Consider the following 19,926-nt stretch of genomic DNA (forward strand, 5'->3'; position numbering starts at 1 on the left):
AAGATTAAATGAGGTACACAAAGTACTGATTCTATGTATGCTCTAAGTATGTGTTGAATGAATTAAAGAATAAATGTTCCCCTACCTGGAATACCTCTTCTCCCAGCTAACTCTGTTTTTGTTTTTGTTTTGTTTTTTTTTTTTTGAGACAAGATCTCACTCTGTTGTCCAGGCTGGAGTGCAGTGGTGCAATTTCGGCTCACTGCAACAACCTCTTACCTCAGCCTCTGAGTAGCTGGGACCACAGGCGCACACAACCACACCTGGCTAATTTTTTGTATCTTTTGTAGAGACAGGGTTTCACCATGTTGCCTCAAACTCCTAGGCTCAAGCGATCCTCCTACCTCAGCCTCCCAAAGTGCTAGGATTGCAGGCAAGAGCCACCACGCCTGGCCCAGCTGTCCACTCACCCTTTAAAAATGGATTGCAACCATCCTTAATTTCCCCAGAATTATGTGTCCCACTTTGTTTCTGAAGCTCAGCGCATACCTGTTTATCACATACACTGTAATTACTGATGTCCTTGTTGTTCAAGTTATGTCCTTGATGTCCAAGTTATATTTTGGTAAATTCCTTAAGGATCATGTTTTATTTGACTTTATATCTGCAGCAATTAGTGTAGTTCCTGACAAATAGGAACCACTATTCCCTTCACTATTTCAATAAATGTTGAATGAATATTTTATACACAGCTAACCAAAGGGCTTGTACCATATGCCCTACTAATTTTATTCTAAGAAAGCACGATGTTCAAATATATTTGAAAAACAGCAGATATTTCAACAATAAACATGTTAATTCTGCTTGGGTCATATGTAATGCCCATGAGAAGAACAAGCATAAATACAGACTCTCTACATAAAGATAATAGCTCATCCTTACTAAGCACTTAAGCTGTGCCATTTACTCTGCTAAGCAATTTACAATTATTTGATTTAATCCAATGACATAACTCTCTGCGGGTTAAGTTCTATTATTTGCCTTATTTTACAAGATATGGGGAAACTGAGCACTAGAGAAATTACATAACCTCAAGATCTCACAAGTAGTAAGCAGTAGTGCCAGGGTTTCAACCCAGACTTCCTGACTCTGGAGCCTCCACTCTTAATTACATGAAACTCAGACTTCTTGGCGGTAAGTGATGCTTCCGAGATGCTTAATGTGGTACTCTGACCCGCAATGAGTGAGCTTCAATGAGAAAAACTATGGATGGACCAACAGCACGTTTTCCCATATTCTATCAAATCGTGAAGATACCAAACTATGAAAGGGTCTACCTGCAAATTAAGTCCTTGAAGACAAGTATATGTATATCCGGGGTTTTCTTCCACATGCTTTCAACACACTACACTTTTGCTCTGGACACAATATCTTAAAAATAAATAAATAAAGCTTTGGCTTTTAATATGAACACAGTAATTATTTTTCTATTACGACCTGAAAACCTAAATACTTAAATACAAAGTCAGCATTTCCAAGACAGCCAAGAGCCAAGAATTAAAAAAAAAAAAAAATTAAGGCCGCATTTATAGTTTTGAGGAATGGAGATCCAAACAAAACAGTCCACAAGTCATCTTGGACGCTGAAGTGTGCAGAACTGCTAGGGCATCTACCCAATCACATGGGGGAATTGCGGGTACCTTGATACCGACAAGTTAGCTTCAAAGTTCCCTTACCCGAGCCTCTAAATCAGCTGAGACCAATCATTGTTAACGCTCTCCGGGGCCGTCTTGAGGACTCCCAGTTGGCAATCTGGAACGTGTCCAGAACTTGGTGGGGCGGGGGGGGGATCATATTTCGTGGAGAATGGGGGAGGTGAGCCCTGGGTATAGGGATAACTTTTTAACTAGCGTTAATTGGGGTCTTTGCGGCCAGGCTGTAAAGATTCCCGCCACACTAATATGAATCAGCCATGGCCTTTTAATTGGAACGCCGGAACTCTGCCTTGTTTTATTAATATCTTAATAACACGTTTCTATAATGGACATGTTGGTTCCTTGTATTTTAAAACGCAGCCACAAACTGAGGCGATAGCGATCACGTTATGCAGTCCCCAATCGTCCAAGCCGAATAGGCTGCATGAAGTATCACTCAAAAACATTCATTACCGTCGGTGTGTTGAGTGGTAACGCCAGTGTGCGAATTCATTAATGGAAATCACGGGACCCCGAGCGGTTGGAGATCTGCCACACCCCTCTGCCTGCGTTAAGACAGCCTGACCCGACCTCTGGTAAATTAATGCGCAAAATGGCGGTTGCACGTCTGTTTCCCCACCCCGGCGCACAATCCTGAGGAAGGACGTCACGTCACCAGGGCAACGACGCTCTTGCGTAAAGGCCCGGCCCAAGGGAACGTTCAGGGCGTCTCGGCTTTCCCCGCTGCTGCTTCTGCTAGGCCCAGTGCGAGACCAGAGCACGAGCGACTCCCGTCGTCCCCGGCCAGGCAGATGTTGGCCTAGTCCTGGCGCGAACGAAGCGCGCTATTTCCCTGCTTCCTCTAGGCCAAGCCTGCTTTACGGCAGGGCCCGCCTCGGGAGCGAGCACAGACCGGGGCAGCGAGGCCAGCCAGGCGCCGACGAGGTCCCCGAACGCGCACGCGCTCCGTTCAGCTCCGGGTGGCGGCCGCCGGAGTAGACGTTAGCCATGGAAACCGAGAGCTGGCCCGGGCGGGGCCGCGGTGAGCTCGTTATTCGGCCGCCGCAGCTTTTCTGCCTCCGCATTCGGGCACTAACCAACCTCCCGGCGGGAGCGCCCAGCCCGAGTTTACCTGCAAAAATGCGGTCCCTGGGATGCCTTCGCGTCTTCTCTTCCCTCGGGTGACTTGAGGTACGTTCGTTGTCCGACGTCCACCTCGGGACTTCTTCGGCATCTTAATGTCCAAGCCTGTGCGGAGAGCCAAGTTGTTCTAGGGGCTTTCATTGCCACAAGAAACATATTTTTCGTTTTTCGTTGCAAAACCTTTAAGTGCAATTATTGCGCTTAATGAACTCAGTCATTAGAGATAGTAATTCAGTGTGATTTTAACTTTCCTTTGAAAGACTACTTTAGCCTGTTGAATTGTAGCATTTTGTTTCTAAGAGACTCGTACGAAATGGAATATGGCACACCCACCCGGAGCTGTGTCCGTTAGGTAGAACTGTACTCTCGCAATATCTCCAACTAAACCTCTTTTGTCCGAATTGTTCAACTCATGGCCCCCTGAACGTGAAGCGCTCCTTCCCCACTGATCTCGACCTCTGTCCCCACAACCTCTTGTCTCTCCAGGACCAGAATTTACTCCAGTGAATCGGAAGTTGTTTTCCATGCCGCTGAATTGGTTATCTGCTCTGTATCCATCATTTTTCACTTACTCATTTTTTACTATTTTTAGGTGTTTGTTTTCTTCATTAAATCATTCCTGCAGTTAGGGCAAAGACTGCCCTTCATGTTATTTGGTATCCACCGCCACTCACGCCAAATCCCCAGACCTTTAGCATAGCATCCAGTTCAGATGTTGCCTTTTCACGAATTTAACTGTTTGTAGCATCTGTTGGCTGCTCCTAAATTTCCTACTTAAAGAGCTGCCTTCTAATTATTAACTGCTGTGGAAAATACCAATCAGGGAAGCTTTTTCTTTTTTAAGAGCTTTATTGAGATGTAATTTACATTCAATACAATTCACCCATTTATAGAATTGTGCAACCCTTACCACAGTCAAGTTTGGAACATTTTCATCACCCCAAAAAGAAACCTTTTACCCTCAGCAGTCACCACCTCCCTCCCCCCATTATCCTTACCCCACCAGCCATAAGCAATTACTAATCTGTTTTCTGTCCCCATAAATTTGCTTATTTTGGACATTTCACATAGACGGGAAAATACAATATGTGGCCTTTTGTAACGGGCTTTCACTTAGTGTGTTTTCAAGGTTCAGCCATGTTGTAGAATGTATGAGTACTTCATTCCTTTTTATAGTCTAATTTCATTGTGTGGATATATCACATTTATCCATTCATTGATGGACATTTGGGTTGTTTTCATTTTTTGGCTGTTAGTAATATTTCTTCTATGAATCTTTTGTGTACAGATTTTTGTGTAGACATATATGTTTTTATCTCTGTTGGGTGTATACCTGAGAGTAGAATTACTGGGTTATATGGTAACTCTATGTTTAGCCTTTTGAGGAACTGCTAGACTGTTTCCCAAAGGAGCTGTATCATTTTACATAACCACCAGATATGTTTGAGGGTTCTGATTTCTCCACAGTCTCATGAATACTTATTATTGTCTGCCATTTTTATTTTAGCCAGTCAAGGAGGTTTGAAATGGTACCTCATTATGGTTTCAGTTTGTGTTTTTCTAATGAGTAATGATGTTGAGTATCATTTTATATTTTCTGTGCTTATTAACCATTTGTATATCATCTTTGGAGAAATGTCTGTTCATATCCTTTGCTCATTTTTTAAAGATTGGATTATTTGATTTCTCATTATTGAATTGTAAGAGTTCTTTATATAGTCTAGCTATAAGTCATATATATATATGATTTGCACAAATTTTCTTCCATTCTATAGGTTGTTCTCACTTTCATGATGGTGAGAACCTTGTTTTTTAAACAGTTTCTCACTTGTCTTGTGAAAGGGTACTGGATACCAACCCCCTCATGCTGGCTTAGCCATCAAAAGCGTCCCATTTTTACACTTTGTAGATTCCTCTTGGACCCACTTTTCTCCAAAGAACCCTATTCCCCCAAGTTATCCTTCCAGTTCTCTAGCATCAAAACAAAATTCGCTTTCATTTGGCAGTTGTTAGTCCAAACTGCACCATTTTGTAAGTCCCCCAGCATTTTGCAGACCTTGGTCAAAGTGACACATTCCAGGCGAGTTTGGGCTGTGAGAAACATCCTGCCTAACCACCTGACCACAACACACAAGAACATCCTTATCATACCCTGCTAAGCAAAGGCCCAACTGAAGGAACGTCCCTATCATACCCTGCAACTGGAACAAAGGGCCAAACCACCTGATCATAGGAACATCTTAATATCCTGCCGGGCAGCAAACCAGACAGCCCAGACCCCTCCTGCCCATACCTATAAGTCCCCAGCCTGTGAACGGCAGTGGGCTCTGGCATTAAGCTGCACCCCCCACCTCTGCAGGTTTTTGCAATATACTTGTGTTGCTGTAGAGCCCCCCCCCACCCCCATCTTTCTTTAACTCCCACCTTCCCTTTAAAAAAAACCTAACAGCAATAGCATGGTATGATTCAAAAACTCATTTTGCCACTAACTGACATTGTATCTTGGTTAAGTCACTTAATATCACTGGTTCTCAGGTTTTTTTGTAAAATAAATTAATTTATTTCTAGTAATTCATGTGAGTAGCAGACTTCATTCACCTGATACTTGATTTTAAAAGAAAAGTTTTTCAACCCAGGGAATTTATAGTGGGTGTCAGTCGAGAAAAATGATGGGACAAGTCTCAATCATTTTAGGAGATTTATTTGCCAAAGTTAAGGACGTGCCCGGGAGGCAAGTCTATGTCTTTCTTCGAAGATGATTTTGAGGTCTCCAAATTTAAAGGGGAAAGGGCAGGATGTTGAGAAGTACACAATTGTCATGTAAGAGGTGGGTAGGGGCAAATAGTTATTTATGCCTTTGGCTCAGTGAATCTGCATTTTTTACATAAGATGACATAAAAGGGGCAGAGGAAAATATTAGGGGAATCTGCATTTTACATAAGATAACAGACAAAATGGGGTAGGGGAACAATCAGATTTGCATTTATGTCTGGTGGGCCAGGGGTAACTGCACCTGTAAGCTGTCAATTGACATTGCCAGGATGAAATTTTAGCTCACTGGGAATTTCCCTGTGGGCAAAATATAGGGGAGGTGTGTAGCTTTTCATCTTGTAGCCATCCTATTTAGAAACCAAAAGGGGGGAGACAGGTTTGCATGACCCAGTTCCCAGCTTGACTTCTTCCCTTTGGCTAAATGAGTTTGGGGTCCCAAAATTTAATTTCCTTTCACATTTCCCTTCTTTTTTCTGTAAAATCTTTTGGAGAAAGCATTTTAAAAGGAAGACGAGTTCCTGGCCTCAGGTTGGTTTTTCCTCCCTTTTTTGAGCTGCTTTCTTATTGCTAGGATGGTTTATTCCTAGAAGTTCAGGTCCCCAGTCTCTAGGAAGGCTCATTTCTAAGAGGTCATGTCCCATGAAGGTTAAAAAAAAAAAATAGGAAGAGGAAAGAAGTAAAAAAGGAAAGGAAAAAAAAAGAAAAAATATATAGGGACCTAGGCCAGATTTATAGCAACAAAAGGAAATCACACCTGGAAGCTGGGTCAGGCTATATTACTGCCTTCTCAATTAGAGCAATTCTCTAGGGAATCATTACCCTAGCCCTTTCAGTTCATTGACATATTTGCAGGCACATAACCATAACAACACTGTAAGCAGAAACAGGACACAACACAAACTATTATTCCTAATATAAGCAATAAGCTTCTGTCACCAAGTTTCCCAGGATCCAAACCCACCACTCAACTGATTGATTAACGAAGGTTTTGGGTGTGACAGATATCTGGGTTTTCATATCAGTCATAAGTCAGATTATGTTCTTCAATTCATCTGGAATATAAACACAACATTCCATTTTTATGATGGTGCAGGTCCTCCCTTGTGCTGCCGTGAGTCTATGTAAAGCCATACGGTTTTGCAGCACAGCTTTCCTCATAAGCATGACTTCCTTGTTTAGCAAGGAAATACTCATGCAGCTATCATTCAGGACCTTTTGGGAGTAATTCACTAAAGCCTCTATATGCCATATAACATCTTCAGTACCTATCTGTGGTACAAAGATTGAAGCTAAGTGGTCATACCATTAGAATACCAAATGTGTCCAACAAGATTGTAAATGAAAAAGGTTTGCTGGTTTTGGCAGGTCTGAATTACTCGTCCTTGTGCCCAGGCATAACATAGGGAACATTGTCCTAACCACTCTGGAGGTAACCACGGCCATAAGTTAGTGCCACATAGCCAATATGTCCCATTTGGAGCTAGCCAATAAATAACTGATCATTGGCACCCAATGGGTGGCAAGCCATTCAGTGTCTTGTAATATGATAGTGTGGTCACAGCGTTCTCCAGGTATCCACCCCATATCTCTCGTACTGTTTGGACATAGGTCCTTGGTGTGATTTCTTTGCTCCCAACACAAAGCATTTTGGCTGAGTTGGCCAAATGAAGGGGTGAGCCAGATAAATCAATACCAATTTAAAAGGCCTGTGTAACAAATAATTATTCTTGCTGTACTGTATCCAAATAATTAAGCCAAGTATAGTAAAGCAAACCAGTCCTACCATGACTTGTCTTTTAATAAGTGGGAAACTGGAGAGAGAAAATTATGTTTCAAAAACTGTAGCACACCTGTTGTTAAATTCTAGTCTTGCCTCATGTTTTCCAATTTTTAGTATTTTCTACAGTTTAAATTCTGATTTTTCTGGCTACAAGTTTCTAAAATAAGTTGTGCTTCCTTAAAGTCCTATGAACTGAAAACTAGATGTTTTATCAGGCGCTGCCTCTAAACCCCCCAACCATCACAGAAGGAAATCTCTTCACTGCTGGCATTGACAACTAATAACTGAGGGTGCCCGGAATCCTTCACCCCATGTCTAGTGAGTCTACGGAACCAGGGTAATTGAGACAATATCTGTTACAGGAATCAACTCCTGGATACATCACACTTGAGTCAAAGCCTGGAAAGCTGAGGAAGCAACCCCTGAGAGCCCAAAGGAACGTCCTAAATATAATGGAAATTATTTACTACGCCTTGTGGGAATTGCTTTACTCTACTATTTGCAGTAGGACTATATACTATAGCACCTTCAGGGTGGAATATCTGACAGGGAATCTCAATTGCTGTAGCATTTTGCTTAATTATTATCCTCATAGCAGGAATAACTGTTACTAACAAAAGATAATATGTGGGCCTTTCCAAACATGTGCCTCTGCCTCTCATTAGGTAGGGAATGTTGTTTCTATCTCAACCAATCAGGCCTAGTAAGAGACTGCTGAAAAACTTAAAGGTCTAAAAAGCTAAGGGAATACCAAAACAACCAGACAGATTCTTGGTTTGGGAGCAGAATCATAGCATGGGTCACCCCATTCCTGGGCCCTCTCCTAATAATATGCCTAGGACTAATGTTCTTACCCTGCCTAATTAACCTTTTTCAAAGATTTTTAGCTGACAGACTCATGACCATTTCACACACAACTACCCAAAAACATCTACAGTGTTATTTCTGCAGTCAATCCAAGACCCAAAAACTGTCTGTCCCCTTGTCAGCAGGAAGTAGCCAGAAAGAACACACTGCCCCTCGTCATTTTTATAACTACAGGGTCTGGATTGACAGAGCAGGAGCATCACCCTCTTCGACTTCGACGAGGACCATCATTTTAAGTTTCACCTTGATCAAAACCCACCAAAATCCAAAGGGCATCAGCCTTATGGTTAAGGTCAGCATGAACATAAATCACACAACATCTCTGACCAGAAACATTCGAAACCCCTCCCGGACCAGAGACATGCCAGCCCCGAGATAACCTTCCCCCTGGCTGGAGAGATGTCAGCCCCAAGATAACCTCCCTTCTGACCAGAGACATTCCAACCCTACCATAAGCTTCTCCCCCATGCAGAAACATTCCAAACCTGTAATAAGTTCTGTCACCAATAAATACTGTAAGTCTGTAAGAGAGAGCTTTCCTGACTGAAATCAGCCAGAAGCCTCTCTCAGGTTTATTCTCCAAAACAAACCTGTCTTTGACTGTTGAGCCACTTTGTATTTCTTTCCTCTTTAACTTACACTGTGACCTTACAAAACACTCTTATTCAAAAACCCTCCAAAAGTCTTGAATTTGAGTGAATACCTTTTTATAGATCCAAAGAGATGTTAACGTGCTTGTTCCTTTTCAGTCTTTCTTTTCTAGTACTTGGGTAGACTTTCCTTTGGTTGGGGAGCGGGGTGCTTACCATATAACTTGTAAACCAAAGCATGAAATATATGTTTCTGTTTAAACATCAAAAGTCTTTTGCTGGGCACGGTGGCTCACACCTGTAATCCCAGCACTTTGGGAGGATGAGGCGGGTGGATCACCTGAGTTCAGGAGTTCAAGACCAGCCTGGTCAACATGGTGAAACCCCTTCTCTGCTCAAAATACAAAATTAGCTGAGCGTGGTGGTGCATGCCTGTAATCCCAGCTACTCCGGAGGCTGAGGCAGGAGAATCGCTTGAACCCGAGAGGCGGAGGTTGCAGTGAGCCGAGATCATGCCATTGTACTCCAGCCTGGGCAACAACAGCGAAACTCCGTCTCAAAAAGAAAAAAAAAAAAAGAAAGAAAAGACTCCAGAATTTAGCTGTCTATCCATGGCATGGCATTCGGTTAAGATTCCATAGAGTATTTTCCGGATTATAATGGTAGCTATCTTTGCATCTCTGGATTCCTACTGGTACCCTCAACAGATAGCACTTGGCTATCAAAAAAACTTCATGTATGCATACTTTTTAGAATTGCTCTAGTAGTAGCAAGTGATTTTTATCCAGAGCAACTGAAAATTAAGTTCTTTCATATCATGCTTTTGAGTACTTAGGTGTAGGCCAGTTTGTTTTCTTTTCCAGGTATAAAATTTTCCGTTTTCCAAATTACTAAATTTGGTAATGCTTGGAAATGTAAAACTTTGGTATATTTCCTTGCAGATTTTGTAAAATACTTTTTAGGAATATGGATGAATACATTGTATTTATTACTGAAAGTTTGTCTAATCATTTTTAAACAAGCAGAAATTAGTTTTTCTTGATAAGTTTAATTTTGTTTAGGTTATTTATAAATTAACTTTATCTTTCTTGCTTAATAATGAAAATTGAAAGAATTCCAGAATTGCTTCTACCAAAAACAGTTATTTGAAGGGAAAATGAGATTTACTGGATTGTAACCTTTGGGTTAGAGAGAGCAGTATTATCACTGAGCACATTGTAGGTACCCAAAAGTTTGTAACTAAAAGTTGAAATTGTGGGAAGTAATAATTTATCTTTTAGCTGTTTCTTCATAGAAGGAAGAGTAACACATTTGGCCTATATTTAACAACTATCAAAATTTAAATATTTAATCTTTTCTAGCATCTTCTAACAGTGCTTTAAGAAAAAGGTAATGGTCAGGTGCAGTGGCTCATGCCTGTAATCCCTAATTCCAGCACTTTGGGAGGCTGAGGCAGGCAGATCTCTTGAGGTTAGGAGTTCGAGACCAGCCTGGCCAACGTAGTGAAACACTATCTCTACTGGGGAAAAAAAAAATTAGTCAGGGGTGGTGGCTCATACCTTTCGTCCCGGCTACTTGGGAGGCTGAGGCACAAGAATCGCTTGAACCTAGGAGGCAGAGGTTACAGTGAGCCAAGATCATGCTACTGCACTCCAGCCTGGGTGACAGACTGAGACTCTGTCTCAAAAAAGAAAATGAAAGAAAAGGACAAAGTAACAGGAAGAAAAGAAAACCGTCATGTCAAAGAGCTAATGCCCTTCATATATGAAAAGTTCTTCCAAATTCGTAAGAAAAATGTTCAAAAATGATCACTTCAATAGAAAAATAGGCAAAGGACATGAGCCAATTTACAAAAAAAAAATACCATTTTTCTGCACACACACACGCCCCCAAACATATATACATACTTGTAATTAATTTTGTTTTTTAATTTTTGAGACGGAGTTTCACTCTTGTCACCTAGGCTGGAGTGTAATCGCGCCATCTTGGCTCACTACAACCTCTGTCTCCCAGGTTCAAGTGATTCTCCCGCCTCAGCCTCCCAAGTAGCTGGGATTACAGGCACCCACCACCATGCTTGGCTAACTTTTGTATTTTTAGTAGAAATGGGGTTTTGCCCTGTTGGCCAGGCTGGTCTTGAACTCCCGACCTCAGGTGATCTGCCCACCTCAGCCTCTCAAAGTGCTGGGATTACAGGCATGAGCCACCGTGCCCTCCGTAATTAATATTCTTAAACCATATTCATGAAACAATAATAGGATTTTGAGGACTCAGCTCTGATTTGTTAAATCTTGCCCAAATTCCTGTCTAAGGGGCCTAGAGAGTCATGCCCTACAAATCATAAATTCTCATCAGGTGGGTTTTATTTAACCCTGTATATCTTGACTTTCCAATCTGACTCTGGCATAACAAGGAAGAAAATAAAAATGTTTTACCCAAAAATATATTTCCTTGCCATACCTTGAAATTGCCCTGCAAAGTCTCTTGTGGGAAAAATCCACATTCTATAATGAGTCCCCTTTCCCCTTTGTTTTCCTTCCTTCCTTTCCAGATCCAAGAGATAATCAACTAACAGTCAGGTACCCTTTTAAGTCTGATAAGAAATATTTTACCACCTGCTCTCTGAAGTCTGCTCTCTGAGAGCTTCCTCTGCACAGTGAAACTTGGTCTCCACAATCCTTTATCTTAACCTGAACATTTCTTTTCTGTTGATCCCAGGTCTTCAGATAAACTCATCCTATTGTCAACCAGAAAATGTTTAAATTTACCTATAGTCTGGAAGCCCCTTCTTTGAGTTGTCCCACCTTTCTAAACCAGACCAATGTGTTTCTTAAATGTATTTGATGTCTTATGCCTCCCTAAAATATATAAAACTAAGCTGTACCTTAGCCACCTTGGGCACATGTTCTGAGGACCTCCTGAGGGCTGTGTCATGGGCTGTGGTCACTCATATTTGGCTCAGAATAAATCTCTTAAAATATTTTACACTTGTTCGGCTTTTTTCATCAACAATTTCATAAAAAGGAACACTCAGATTAAAGAAGAGCTCTCAGAAGTTAAAAAAATGAGCAAAGATTTGATAAATTTCCACAGATCTATTAGTCTCCTGAAAGTACAACAAAAATATAGTTGAGACAAGTGCCTCAGTGCAGAAGTACTCCTTAATATCACCTCACCTGTTATGATGACTACTATCAAAAAAACAAAAGAGTGTTGGTGAGGATATGGAGGAATTGGAACCCTTGTATGCTGGGTGGGAATGCAAAATTGTGCAGCCACTATCTATGCCAAAACAGTATGGAGGTTTCTCAAAATATAAAAAAAATAATTAAAAAAAGAGCTACCATATGATCTAGCAATTTTGCTTTTGGGTATTTATACAAAATAATTGAAATCAAGATAAAAGTGATAGTTGCCCTCCCATGTTTATTGCAGCATTATTCAACTTAAATGTCCATCAACAGATAAATGGTTAAAGAAAATGTGGTATAGACATACAACGGACTATTATTCAGCCTTAAAAAAAGGAAACCATGCCATATGTAACAACAGATGAACCTTGAAGGCATTATGTTAAGTGAAGTAAGCCAGTCACATGAAGGACAACTACTACATTCCACTTATGTGAGGTATCTAAAATAGACTAACTCTAAATCAGTGAGTAGAATGGTGATTGCCAGAGAATGGGGGGAGGGAAAATAGGGAGTTGCTATTCAACAGGTATGAAGTTTTAATTATGCAGGATGAACAAGTTCTAGAGATCTGTTCTACAACATTGTGCCTGCAGCTGACAATACTGTATTGTACACTTAAATGTTTAACAGTAGATCTCATGTTAGTGTTCCTACCACAATGAAAAATCAAAATCCTAACAATACAGGAAAAAAGAGGGATTCAATAAATGAAATCAACCAATCAATAAAAATAATATGATAGATTTAAAAAAACTTCAATCACTACAACATCTCAAAATTTTTTTGTTGAACTTAGAGAAATATATATTTAATCCAAAAATGTGGCCACTTTTTGTTGTTTTTTTGTTTAACAGATTTTTAGTATGGTGTTATATATGTCTGAGTTACATACAGTTTTGGTAACTAAGAATTCCTCTCAGTACGTTGCCAGATTGATCTCTGTTTCTTACTCTTGTGAGTAATGTGTAACAAATATGACTCCCAAATAAAGCAGCATTTCTGTGGCTATTTTGTTGGCCCACTTTCAGAGTAGTATGTGAAGAAAGCCTATGGCTTAAATTAGTGTTGTGATGTCATCTTTATCCCTTAAGTTCTCTTTTCACAGTTTTGTTTTTTTCCTAAGTCTTCAGCCGTTTTTTATTTGAATATTGTAGAGGTGGCATCCATACCAATGCATCAGTTCTTCTGGGAATTAATAGTCTTTCAGAACTATGTGCCAAATTCTCACTTGGGGAGTACATTTTAGTTATTGTGAATTTGTTTTCTATGCTAGTAATTCAGTTTGGCATTTAGAAGATTTCTTTGTATAAATGAAACTGTTGCCTCCTACAAATAAAGTATTTTCAAATTCTTAAATATTTTTAAATGTTCCAGGATCTGTAATTTAAATGTCAAAGGTTACCAGTGAATCGTAATTGTCTTTATACTTCCTTAATGAGTTGCTAAATACTCTTTAATCCTTAAAAAGAAAATAGAAACACCCATACTTTAAATCAGTTTTTAGGTCTGATATGCTTGCTACCTGTCAAATTTCTCTGATAGTTTTTTCCTTGTGTACCTCTGTTCATGACATTCCTCCTTAACTGGCATACCCTTTCAGTTCTTGGTTTGGCTCAATCTTTAAGATCCTGATGGAAACCCAGGCCAGTGTTTCTTAAAGTAGTTTCCATAAAACATTAGTTACATGATCTGTTACTAGATATCATGGGAAAAATGGGTTCCAAGGTCAAATAAGTTTGGAAAACTCAAATGACACATTTTAAGCAGACTTGCAGAAGTGTTTTTTAATTTCAAAGATCTCAAAGGCTTTAGTCTGCTGATATCCATTGTGACTCTTCAAGATGACAGTATAGTCTATAATTTTTCAAACTGCCCTGACCACAGACCCCTTTTCAAGGTATATTCTGTGGGATATATGATCCTGTATCTTTCAGCCTTTTAAAAATAGTTCATTAAAATAAATCACCATATCAGTGTTCTCTCCCATGCTTCTTAGGCTTCTTGAGGGAACATACATTCTCTTTGTGCTTCTTGGTCTGCTTTCACTCAATTCTTGATTTCTCCCACTTTATTTTGCTTCTTATGCCTACTGTTCTACCTCTGCCCTTCTTTCTCAGTATGAACTAGTTCCTGCTTTGCTGATGATGGAGATTAAAGCATAGTAAGGGACAGGGAGCAAATTAAAATTGGACTTCTGACATCTTAAAATTCTCCAGTCATTTCCTCCACAGGAGAAACACAGCCATATTTCTCCCTTAGGCTCATCCTGCTCCTGTGTTGCTTTGTGATATATTGATCTAGGCAGAATCTTCCCTGAGCCAGTAATACTATGAATAGATAGCATTATTCCGTAAAAAATAAGTATAGATACTTTCCAAACATTTTAAAACTCAATAAACAGTTTATGGGCTTACTGTTTTGAGTAGAGTAGGATATGCTGCAAGTTTTTGAAAATGGTAAATACGGCCTGGCGCAGTGGCTCACGCCTGTAATTCCAGCATTTTGAGAGGCCGAGGCGGGCAGATCATGAGGTCAGGAGTTCAAGACCAGCCTGACCAACATGGTGAAACCCCGTCTCCACTAAAAATACAAAAATTAGTTGGGTGTGGTGGCACACACCTGTAATCCCAGCTACTCAGGAGGCTGAGGCAGGAGAATCGCTTGAACCCAGGAGGCGGAGGTTGTGGTGAGCTGAGATCACGCCACTGCACTCCAGCCTGGGTGACAGAGCAAGACTCCATCTCAAAAAAAAAAAAAAAAAAAAAAAAAAAAAGAGCTAAAATGGTAAATACTCCCAGCTTCCGTTTAAGACAGCAATATGTCATATTTTCCAATTTTAATTGTCTTACTTAAGCTATGTCTTTAAAGTATTACATGCTTCTCCATGGAAAGGTATTTTGCTAAATATGGGGAATCAAGAATCTCAAGATGTGGCCTCTGTATTCATCTGTTTTCACACTGCTGATAAAGACATACCCAAGACTGGGTAATTTATAAAGAAAAAGAGGTTTAATGTACTCACAATTTCTCATGGCTGAGGAGGCCTCATGATCATGGTGGAAGGTGAAAGGCATGTTTTACATGGCAGCAGACGAGAGAAAATCAGAACCGAGTGGAAGGGGTTTCCCCTTATAAAACCATCAGGTCTCGTGAGACTTATTCACTACCACAAGAACAGTATGGGGGAAACCACCCCCATGATTCAATTATCTCCCACCAGGTCCCTCCGACAACACATGGGAATTATGGGAGCTACAATTCAAGATGAGATTTGGGTGGGGAAACAGCCAAACCGTATCAGCCCCTATGCCAAATAACATATTATTAGTAGAAGTTACTCAGAGAAATGCCGTATACTAATACGTGTTACAAGGTGAGTGTAGGTTGAGTATCCTTTATTCAAAATCCTTGAGACCAGAAGTGTTTTGGATTTGGGTTTTTTTTCCCCAGATTTTGGAATGTTTGCATTATACCAATTATGCATTCGAAATCCAAAAATCAGAAATGCCCTACTAAGCATCTCCTTTGGGCATCATGTTGGCACTTAAAAAGTTTCAGCTTTTGGAGAATTTTGGATATTCAGATTTGTGATGCCTAACCTGTAGTATGTAGAACAAGCAGTGGTTTTGGTATACAGAGAGAAGAGATACTCAGCTAGACCAAACTGCTCTGCAAAATTTTCAGAAATGTCTTAAAAGTTATTTAAAGTTACCAATTAGGGAAGGGAGGAGAGGACATCATCCTAGGCAAAGGAGAGAGCATGAGCTCAGTGGTACCCAGCAAGAAAAACACAGAATGTATTTACAGGGTGTGAGGTTGACAGTTCTGAAGGACATTTGGTAATTTGAAGAGATGTTAAATGTTACAGATAAAATACACATAGCTTAGTTAATATTCCTTCTGAAACTTTTTATACATACGCAAACCATATACAGCCATCTATATATATAGGTGTGTGTACTCTTTTTTTTGGATACAAATGGAATCAGTAGGGTGTTTATTTTTCAGTATATCATGGGCAGCTTTCCATGTTTCTACAATAATAACACTTCAGGTACTGCACTGTTTGGAATATAATCATAGATGATTTCATCAAATGAATGAAAACATTTAAACAAAACTTTACAAAAGACCCAGAAATACTAAAAGGGAAATGAATAGGGATACTAACATTCAGATAGATAATCTGGTTTATAAAATATCTTTACTTTCCTTCCCAGCAAGCCACCCTACCTTGTTTCCAAGTTATCTCAGTAGAGCCAGAAGGGCCAACTTTTACCTAACTCCTTGGGGAAATTTCAGGCACATCCACATTCTTCAAAATCCAGTCTATCCCTCCAAGTTCATTTTCCTGTCTGATGGCATCTTCCATAGATAACTTGTGTCAGAATGCTTATCCCCTCCCACAAGAGTGTGACCTTCCTTACCCATTGGCTTCTATAAGACAATTACAGTGGAATATCGTACACTGAGCCTGACGTCAGTGCAGGAGACAAGCTCGTACGGAGGGGAAGGAGGCACTCTTTCCATTCCCTGAGATTGACCTGTAGACCACTAAGGTTCGATTTGGCCCTGTAGTTCTGTTATTTTGTGAGTATAGTCATCCCTTGGTATCTGTGAAGAATAGGTTCCAGGACCTCCCTCATATACCAAAATCCAAGGATGTTCAAGTCTCTGATATAAAATGGTATCATATATGCGTATAACCTACACACTTCCTCCCTGTACTTTAAATCATCTCTAGATTACTTAAAATACCTAATACTATGTAAATGCTATATAAATAGCTATACTTTATTATTTAGGGAATAATAATGGGAAAAAAATCTGTACATGTTCAGTACAGATACAGTTATTTTCCTGACTATTTTCTGTCTGTGGTTGGTTGAATCCATGAATGCAGAACCCACAGACACGGAGGGCCAGCTGTACTTGCAGGGCTGTCATGTGAGTTAAAGCTGTGATTCATTCTATGCGGAACTAAGACCAATGACTGGAAGATGTAAGAAGATAGATGTTTACAATTTTAAAAACTCCATAGAGGTATAACAAAGAGGTGATCTAAGGTACTAATTCTTAAAGGTGACCCCCAAACTTTGCATGCTGCCCCAAATTTCTCTCCAGAATTGATATTGGTTAGGTAGAACTGACTAGAGGAAAGATTATTTTTAAACTGACTGGAAGAAAGGCTATTTAATTTAAGATGGCTTTAAATTTAATTTTTCCTTTCTAGCCTAACATGATCCACAAAGTAATACTTTGCTAGCTGGTTTTGTGTAGGGTAACTGTTTTTCAGAATAAGTTGCAAGGAATAGGGAAAAGTTGAACTGAAGATAACCTATATTATTTTATACTTAGATTTATATGGCTATTGAATAAAAGTAGCCTAAATTGATTTGAGTTGAAAGTATTGGCATTTTGAACGTTCTGTTGACCTCAGAATTTAAATATGTGAGTTAAAGTCTAATTCCAAAGGTTAGATTATAAATTAATAAAGAATATGATTTTTAAAAAAATAAAAAACAAGGCTGAGCACAGTGGCTCATGCCTGTAATCCCAGCACTTTGGGAGGCAAGGCAGGAGGAACACTTGAGCCCAGATACCCAAGACCAGCCTGGATAATATGGCAAAACCCCATCTCTACAAAAAATAAAAAATTAGCCAGGCATAGGGGCATGTGCCTATAGTCCCAGCTACTCAGGAGGCTAAGGTGGGAGGATCACTTTGAGCTTGGGAGGTCAAGGCTGCAGTGAGCTGTGATCACAGTACACTCCAGCTTGGGTGACAGAGTGATACCCTCTCTCAAAAAATAAAATAACTGAGCATATTGGTTTTGTTTATAAAAACTAGCAACTTAGTGTCAAGTATGTGCCAGAAAGGGGTCTGAGAAGTACAGTTATAAATCCTACCCTTGAAGGAAGTGAGGAGATGAAATAGTAATGTGAGGTTTTTCCTCATAGGTTTTAAATGACATTTTCAAACAGTGACTTTTTTTAATTTTTATTTTTTAGAAACTGCTGTGTTACAGAAAAGCATGTGACTTTCAGAATAATCCCGAGTGAGGATGAGTCCAGATGTGCCTCTACTGAATGATTACAAGCAGGACTTCTTTCTGAAGCGCTTTCCACAGACTGTTCTTGGAGGCCCTCGATTCAAATTAGGCTATTGTGCCCCTCCTTACATATATGTTAATCAAATTATTCTTTTTCTAATGCCATGGGTTTGGGGTGGAGTCGGAACACTTTTATACCAGTTAGGCATCCTGAAAGACTATTATACAGCAGCACTTTCAGGTGGATTAATGCTTTTTACTGCATTTGTCATCCAGTTCACAAGTTTATACGCCAAAAACAAATCAACAACAGTAGAAAGAATACTAACCACGGATATCTTAGCAGAGGAGGATGAGCATGAATTTACCAGTTGTACTGGTGCTGAGACTGTCAAATTTCTCATTCCTGGCAAGAAATATGTAGCCAATACAGTTTTTCATTCTATTCTTGCTGGATTAGCGTGTGGTCTTGGAACATGGTATCTGCTCCCAAATAGAATAACCTTGCTGTATGGCAGTACAGGAGGCACTGCTCTACTATTCTTCTTTGGATGGATGACACTATGTATAGCAGAATATTCTTTAATTGTAAACACAGCTACAGAGACTGCGACTTTCCAAACACAGGATACTTATGAAATTATTCCTCTTATGAGACCTCTTTATATTTTTTTCTTTGTTTCTGTGGATCTGGCACACAGGTAAAAACCTACCAAATACTTTGTAACTAACTTTGTTTTTAAGTATACAGAGTAAGAGAGCTTTCCTTTTAGTGTTACAAAAAAATGAATCCATGGATTAAAAATCATCAAACCATTGGGTGACAGGTTATTTTGATAATTATTCTTTTAGGATTAATCTCTGTAAAACATACTAAAGCAATAGTTAAAACTTATTAAAGAGTTTTTTTAAAAAACCCTTTTTGAGATAAGGAACTTTTCAATTTTGTGTTTCACTTTAAATAAGGAGCTTTGAGTTTTTAAGATAGCCTGGCTAAAACCTGTGTAAGGAGATGGAACTTTCCTGTGGGGGGAAAGAAGAAATTAAAATTTATACATATAAATATTATATACAGATTGAATGAATTTAAGACAAATACAAAATTTATTTCTAATTTTATGATAGCAACAATAGTAGAAGTAATATTGATTTTTTAAAAACCAACTTGTTACAGAAGAAAAGTAGAAAATAGTTTTTTTAACAGACATAATTGTTCACAAAATTGTTTGATAACCCCTTTTACTTGCCTTTTCAAGTTTGACTTTTCTTTCTCCGTCTCCGTAGATTGCAGCTTTCTTTTCTTAGGTTAGTGTCCAGGTAGAAATGTTCAGCATGTTATGGACTGAATATTTGTGTCTCTCCAGAATTCATATATTACAGTCTTAAACCCCAATGTGATGGTATTTTGAGATGAGGCCTTTGGGAGGTAATTAGGTCATGAAGGTGGGTCCTTGGTATGATGGGACTAGTCCCCTTATGAGAAGAGGTACCAGAGAGCTTGATTTGTCCCTCTCTGTGCCATCTAAGGACACAGCAAAAATGTGGCCACCTGCAAGTCAAAGAAGAGAGCTCTCATCAAAACCTGACCATACTGGCAGCCTGATCATGGTCTTTCGGCCTTCAGAAGTGTGAGAAAGTAAATTGATGTTGTTTAAGCCACTCAGCTTATGGCATTTTTTTATGGCAGCCCATGCTGATTAAGATTTTGCTACCAAGAAGTGGGATGCCTTTGTACCAAATACCTAAAAATGTGGAAATGGCTTTGTAACTGTTGGTAATGGGTAGAGGCTGAAAGAGGTTTTTTTGTTTGTTTCTTTGTTTTGTTTTGTTTGAGATGGAGTCTTCACTCTCTTGCCCAGGCTGGAGTGCAGTGGCACAATCTTGGCCCACTGCA

The 19,926-nt window shown here is 39.6% G+C and overlaps 1 protein-coding gene and 1 long non-coding RNA gene across 9 annotated transcripts in view, besides 7 other annotated features; one reads left to right on the plus strand and one right to left on the minus strand.

Moving 5' to 3' along the window:
* Positions 1–2,152, minus strand: part of PCNX4-DT (PCNX4 divergent transcript) — a 122,654-nt gene extending 120,502 nt beyond the window's left edge. For all 5 annotated transcript variants that reach the window (XR_943918.4, XR_007064198.1, XR_007064199.1 and 2 more), the window contains exon 1: positions 2,109–2,152. This is a non-coding gene — a long non-coding RNA (PCNX4 divergent transcript). The remainder of the gene's footprint in view (positions 1–2,108) is intronic.
* Positions 2,150–2,279: an enhancer, noted in NCBI's record as "active region_8465". NCBI's record gives its function as "activates an Ori minimal core promoter by ATAC-STARR-seq in GM12878 lymphoblastoid cells {active_cell/tissue: GM12878}" and the evidence as "EXISTENCE:reporter gene assay evidence [ECO:0000049][PMID:35858748]".
* The window catches only part of PCNX4 (pecanex 4), a 56,311-nt gene continuing 38,701 nt past the window's right edge, over positions 2,317–19,926 (plus strand). For 2 of the 4 annotated variants that reach the window (XM_047431699.1, XM_047431700.1), the window contains exons 1-2: positions 2,317–2,825; positions 17,992–18,733. In XM_047431699.1, the coding sequence (XP_047287655.1) occupies positions 18,045–18,733 (689 nt within the window). In that variant the 5' untranslated portion in view covers positions 2,317–2,825; positions 17,992–18,044. The remainder of the gene's footprint in view (positions 2,826–17,991; positions 18,734–19,926) is intronic. The other 2 variants (NM_001330177.2, NM_022495.5) reach the window with 2 other exon arrangements.
* Positions 2,370–2,559: an enhancer, noted in NCBI's record as "active region_8466". NCBI's record gives its function as "activates an Ori minimal core promoter by ATAC-STARR-seq in GM12878 lymphoblastoid cells {active_cell/tissue: GM12878}" and the evidence as "EXISTENCE:reporter gene assay evidence [ECO:0000049][PMID:35858748]".
* Positions 2,523–3,156: an enhancer, noted in NCBI's record as "H3K27ac hESC enhancer chr14:60558835-60559468 (GRCh37/hg19 assembly coordinates)". NCBI's record gives its function as "activates a minimal SCP1, AML or CMV promoter by ChIP-STARR-seq in primed H9 embryonic stem cells {active_cell/tissue: H9 hESC(primed)}" and the evidence as "EXISTENCE:reporter gene assay evidence [ECO:0000049][PMID:30033119]".
* Positions 4,737–5,031: an enhancer, noted in NCBI's record as "tiled region #1153; HepG2 Activating DNase unmatched - State 1:Tss". NCBI's record gives its function as "activates a minimal TATA promoter and a strong SV40 promoter by Sharpr-MPRA in HepG2 cells {active_cell/tissue: HepG2}" and the evidence as "EXISTENCE:reporter gene assay evidence [ECO:0000049][PMID:27701403]".
* Positions 4,737–5,031: a silencer, noted in NCBI's record as "tiled region #1153; K562 Repressive DNase unmatched - State 1:Tss". NCBI's record gives its function as "represses a minimal TATA promoter and a strong SV40 promoter by Sharpr-MPRA in K562 cells {active_cell/tissue: K562}" and the evidence as "EXISTENCE:reporter gene assay evidence [ECO:0000049][PMID:27701403]".
* Positions 4,737–5,398: a biological region, named in NCBI's record as "Sharpr-MPRA regulatory region 1153".
* Positions 4,814–5,398: an enhancer, noted in NCBI's record as "H3K27ac hESC enhancer chr14:60561126-60561710 (GRCh37/hg19 assembly coordinates)". NCBI's record gives its function as "activates a minimal SCP1, AML or CMV promoter by ChIP-STARR-seq in primed H9 embryonic stem cells {active_cell/tissue: H9 hESC(primed)}" and the evidence as "EXISTENCE:reporter gene assay evidence [ECO:0000049][PMID:30033119]".

The sequence above is a fragment of the Homo sapiens genome, chromosome 14 (genome assembly GCF_000001405.40).
Source record: "Homo sapiens chromosome 14, GRCh38.p14 Primary Assembly".
NCBI classification, from domain to species: Eukaryota; Metazoa; Chordata; class Mammalia; order Primates; family Hominidae; genus Homo; species Homo sapiens.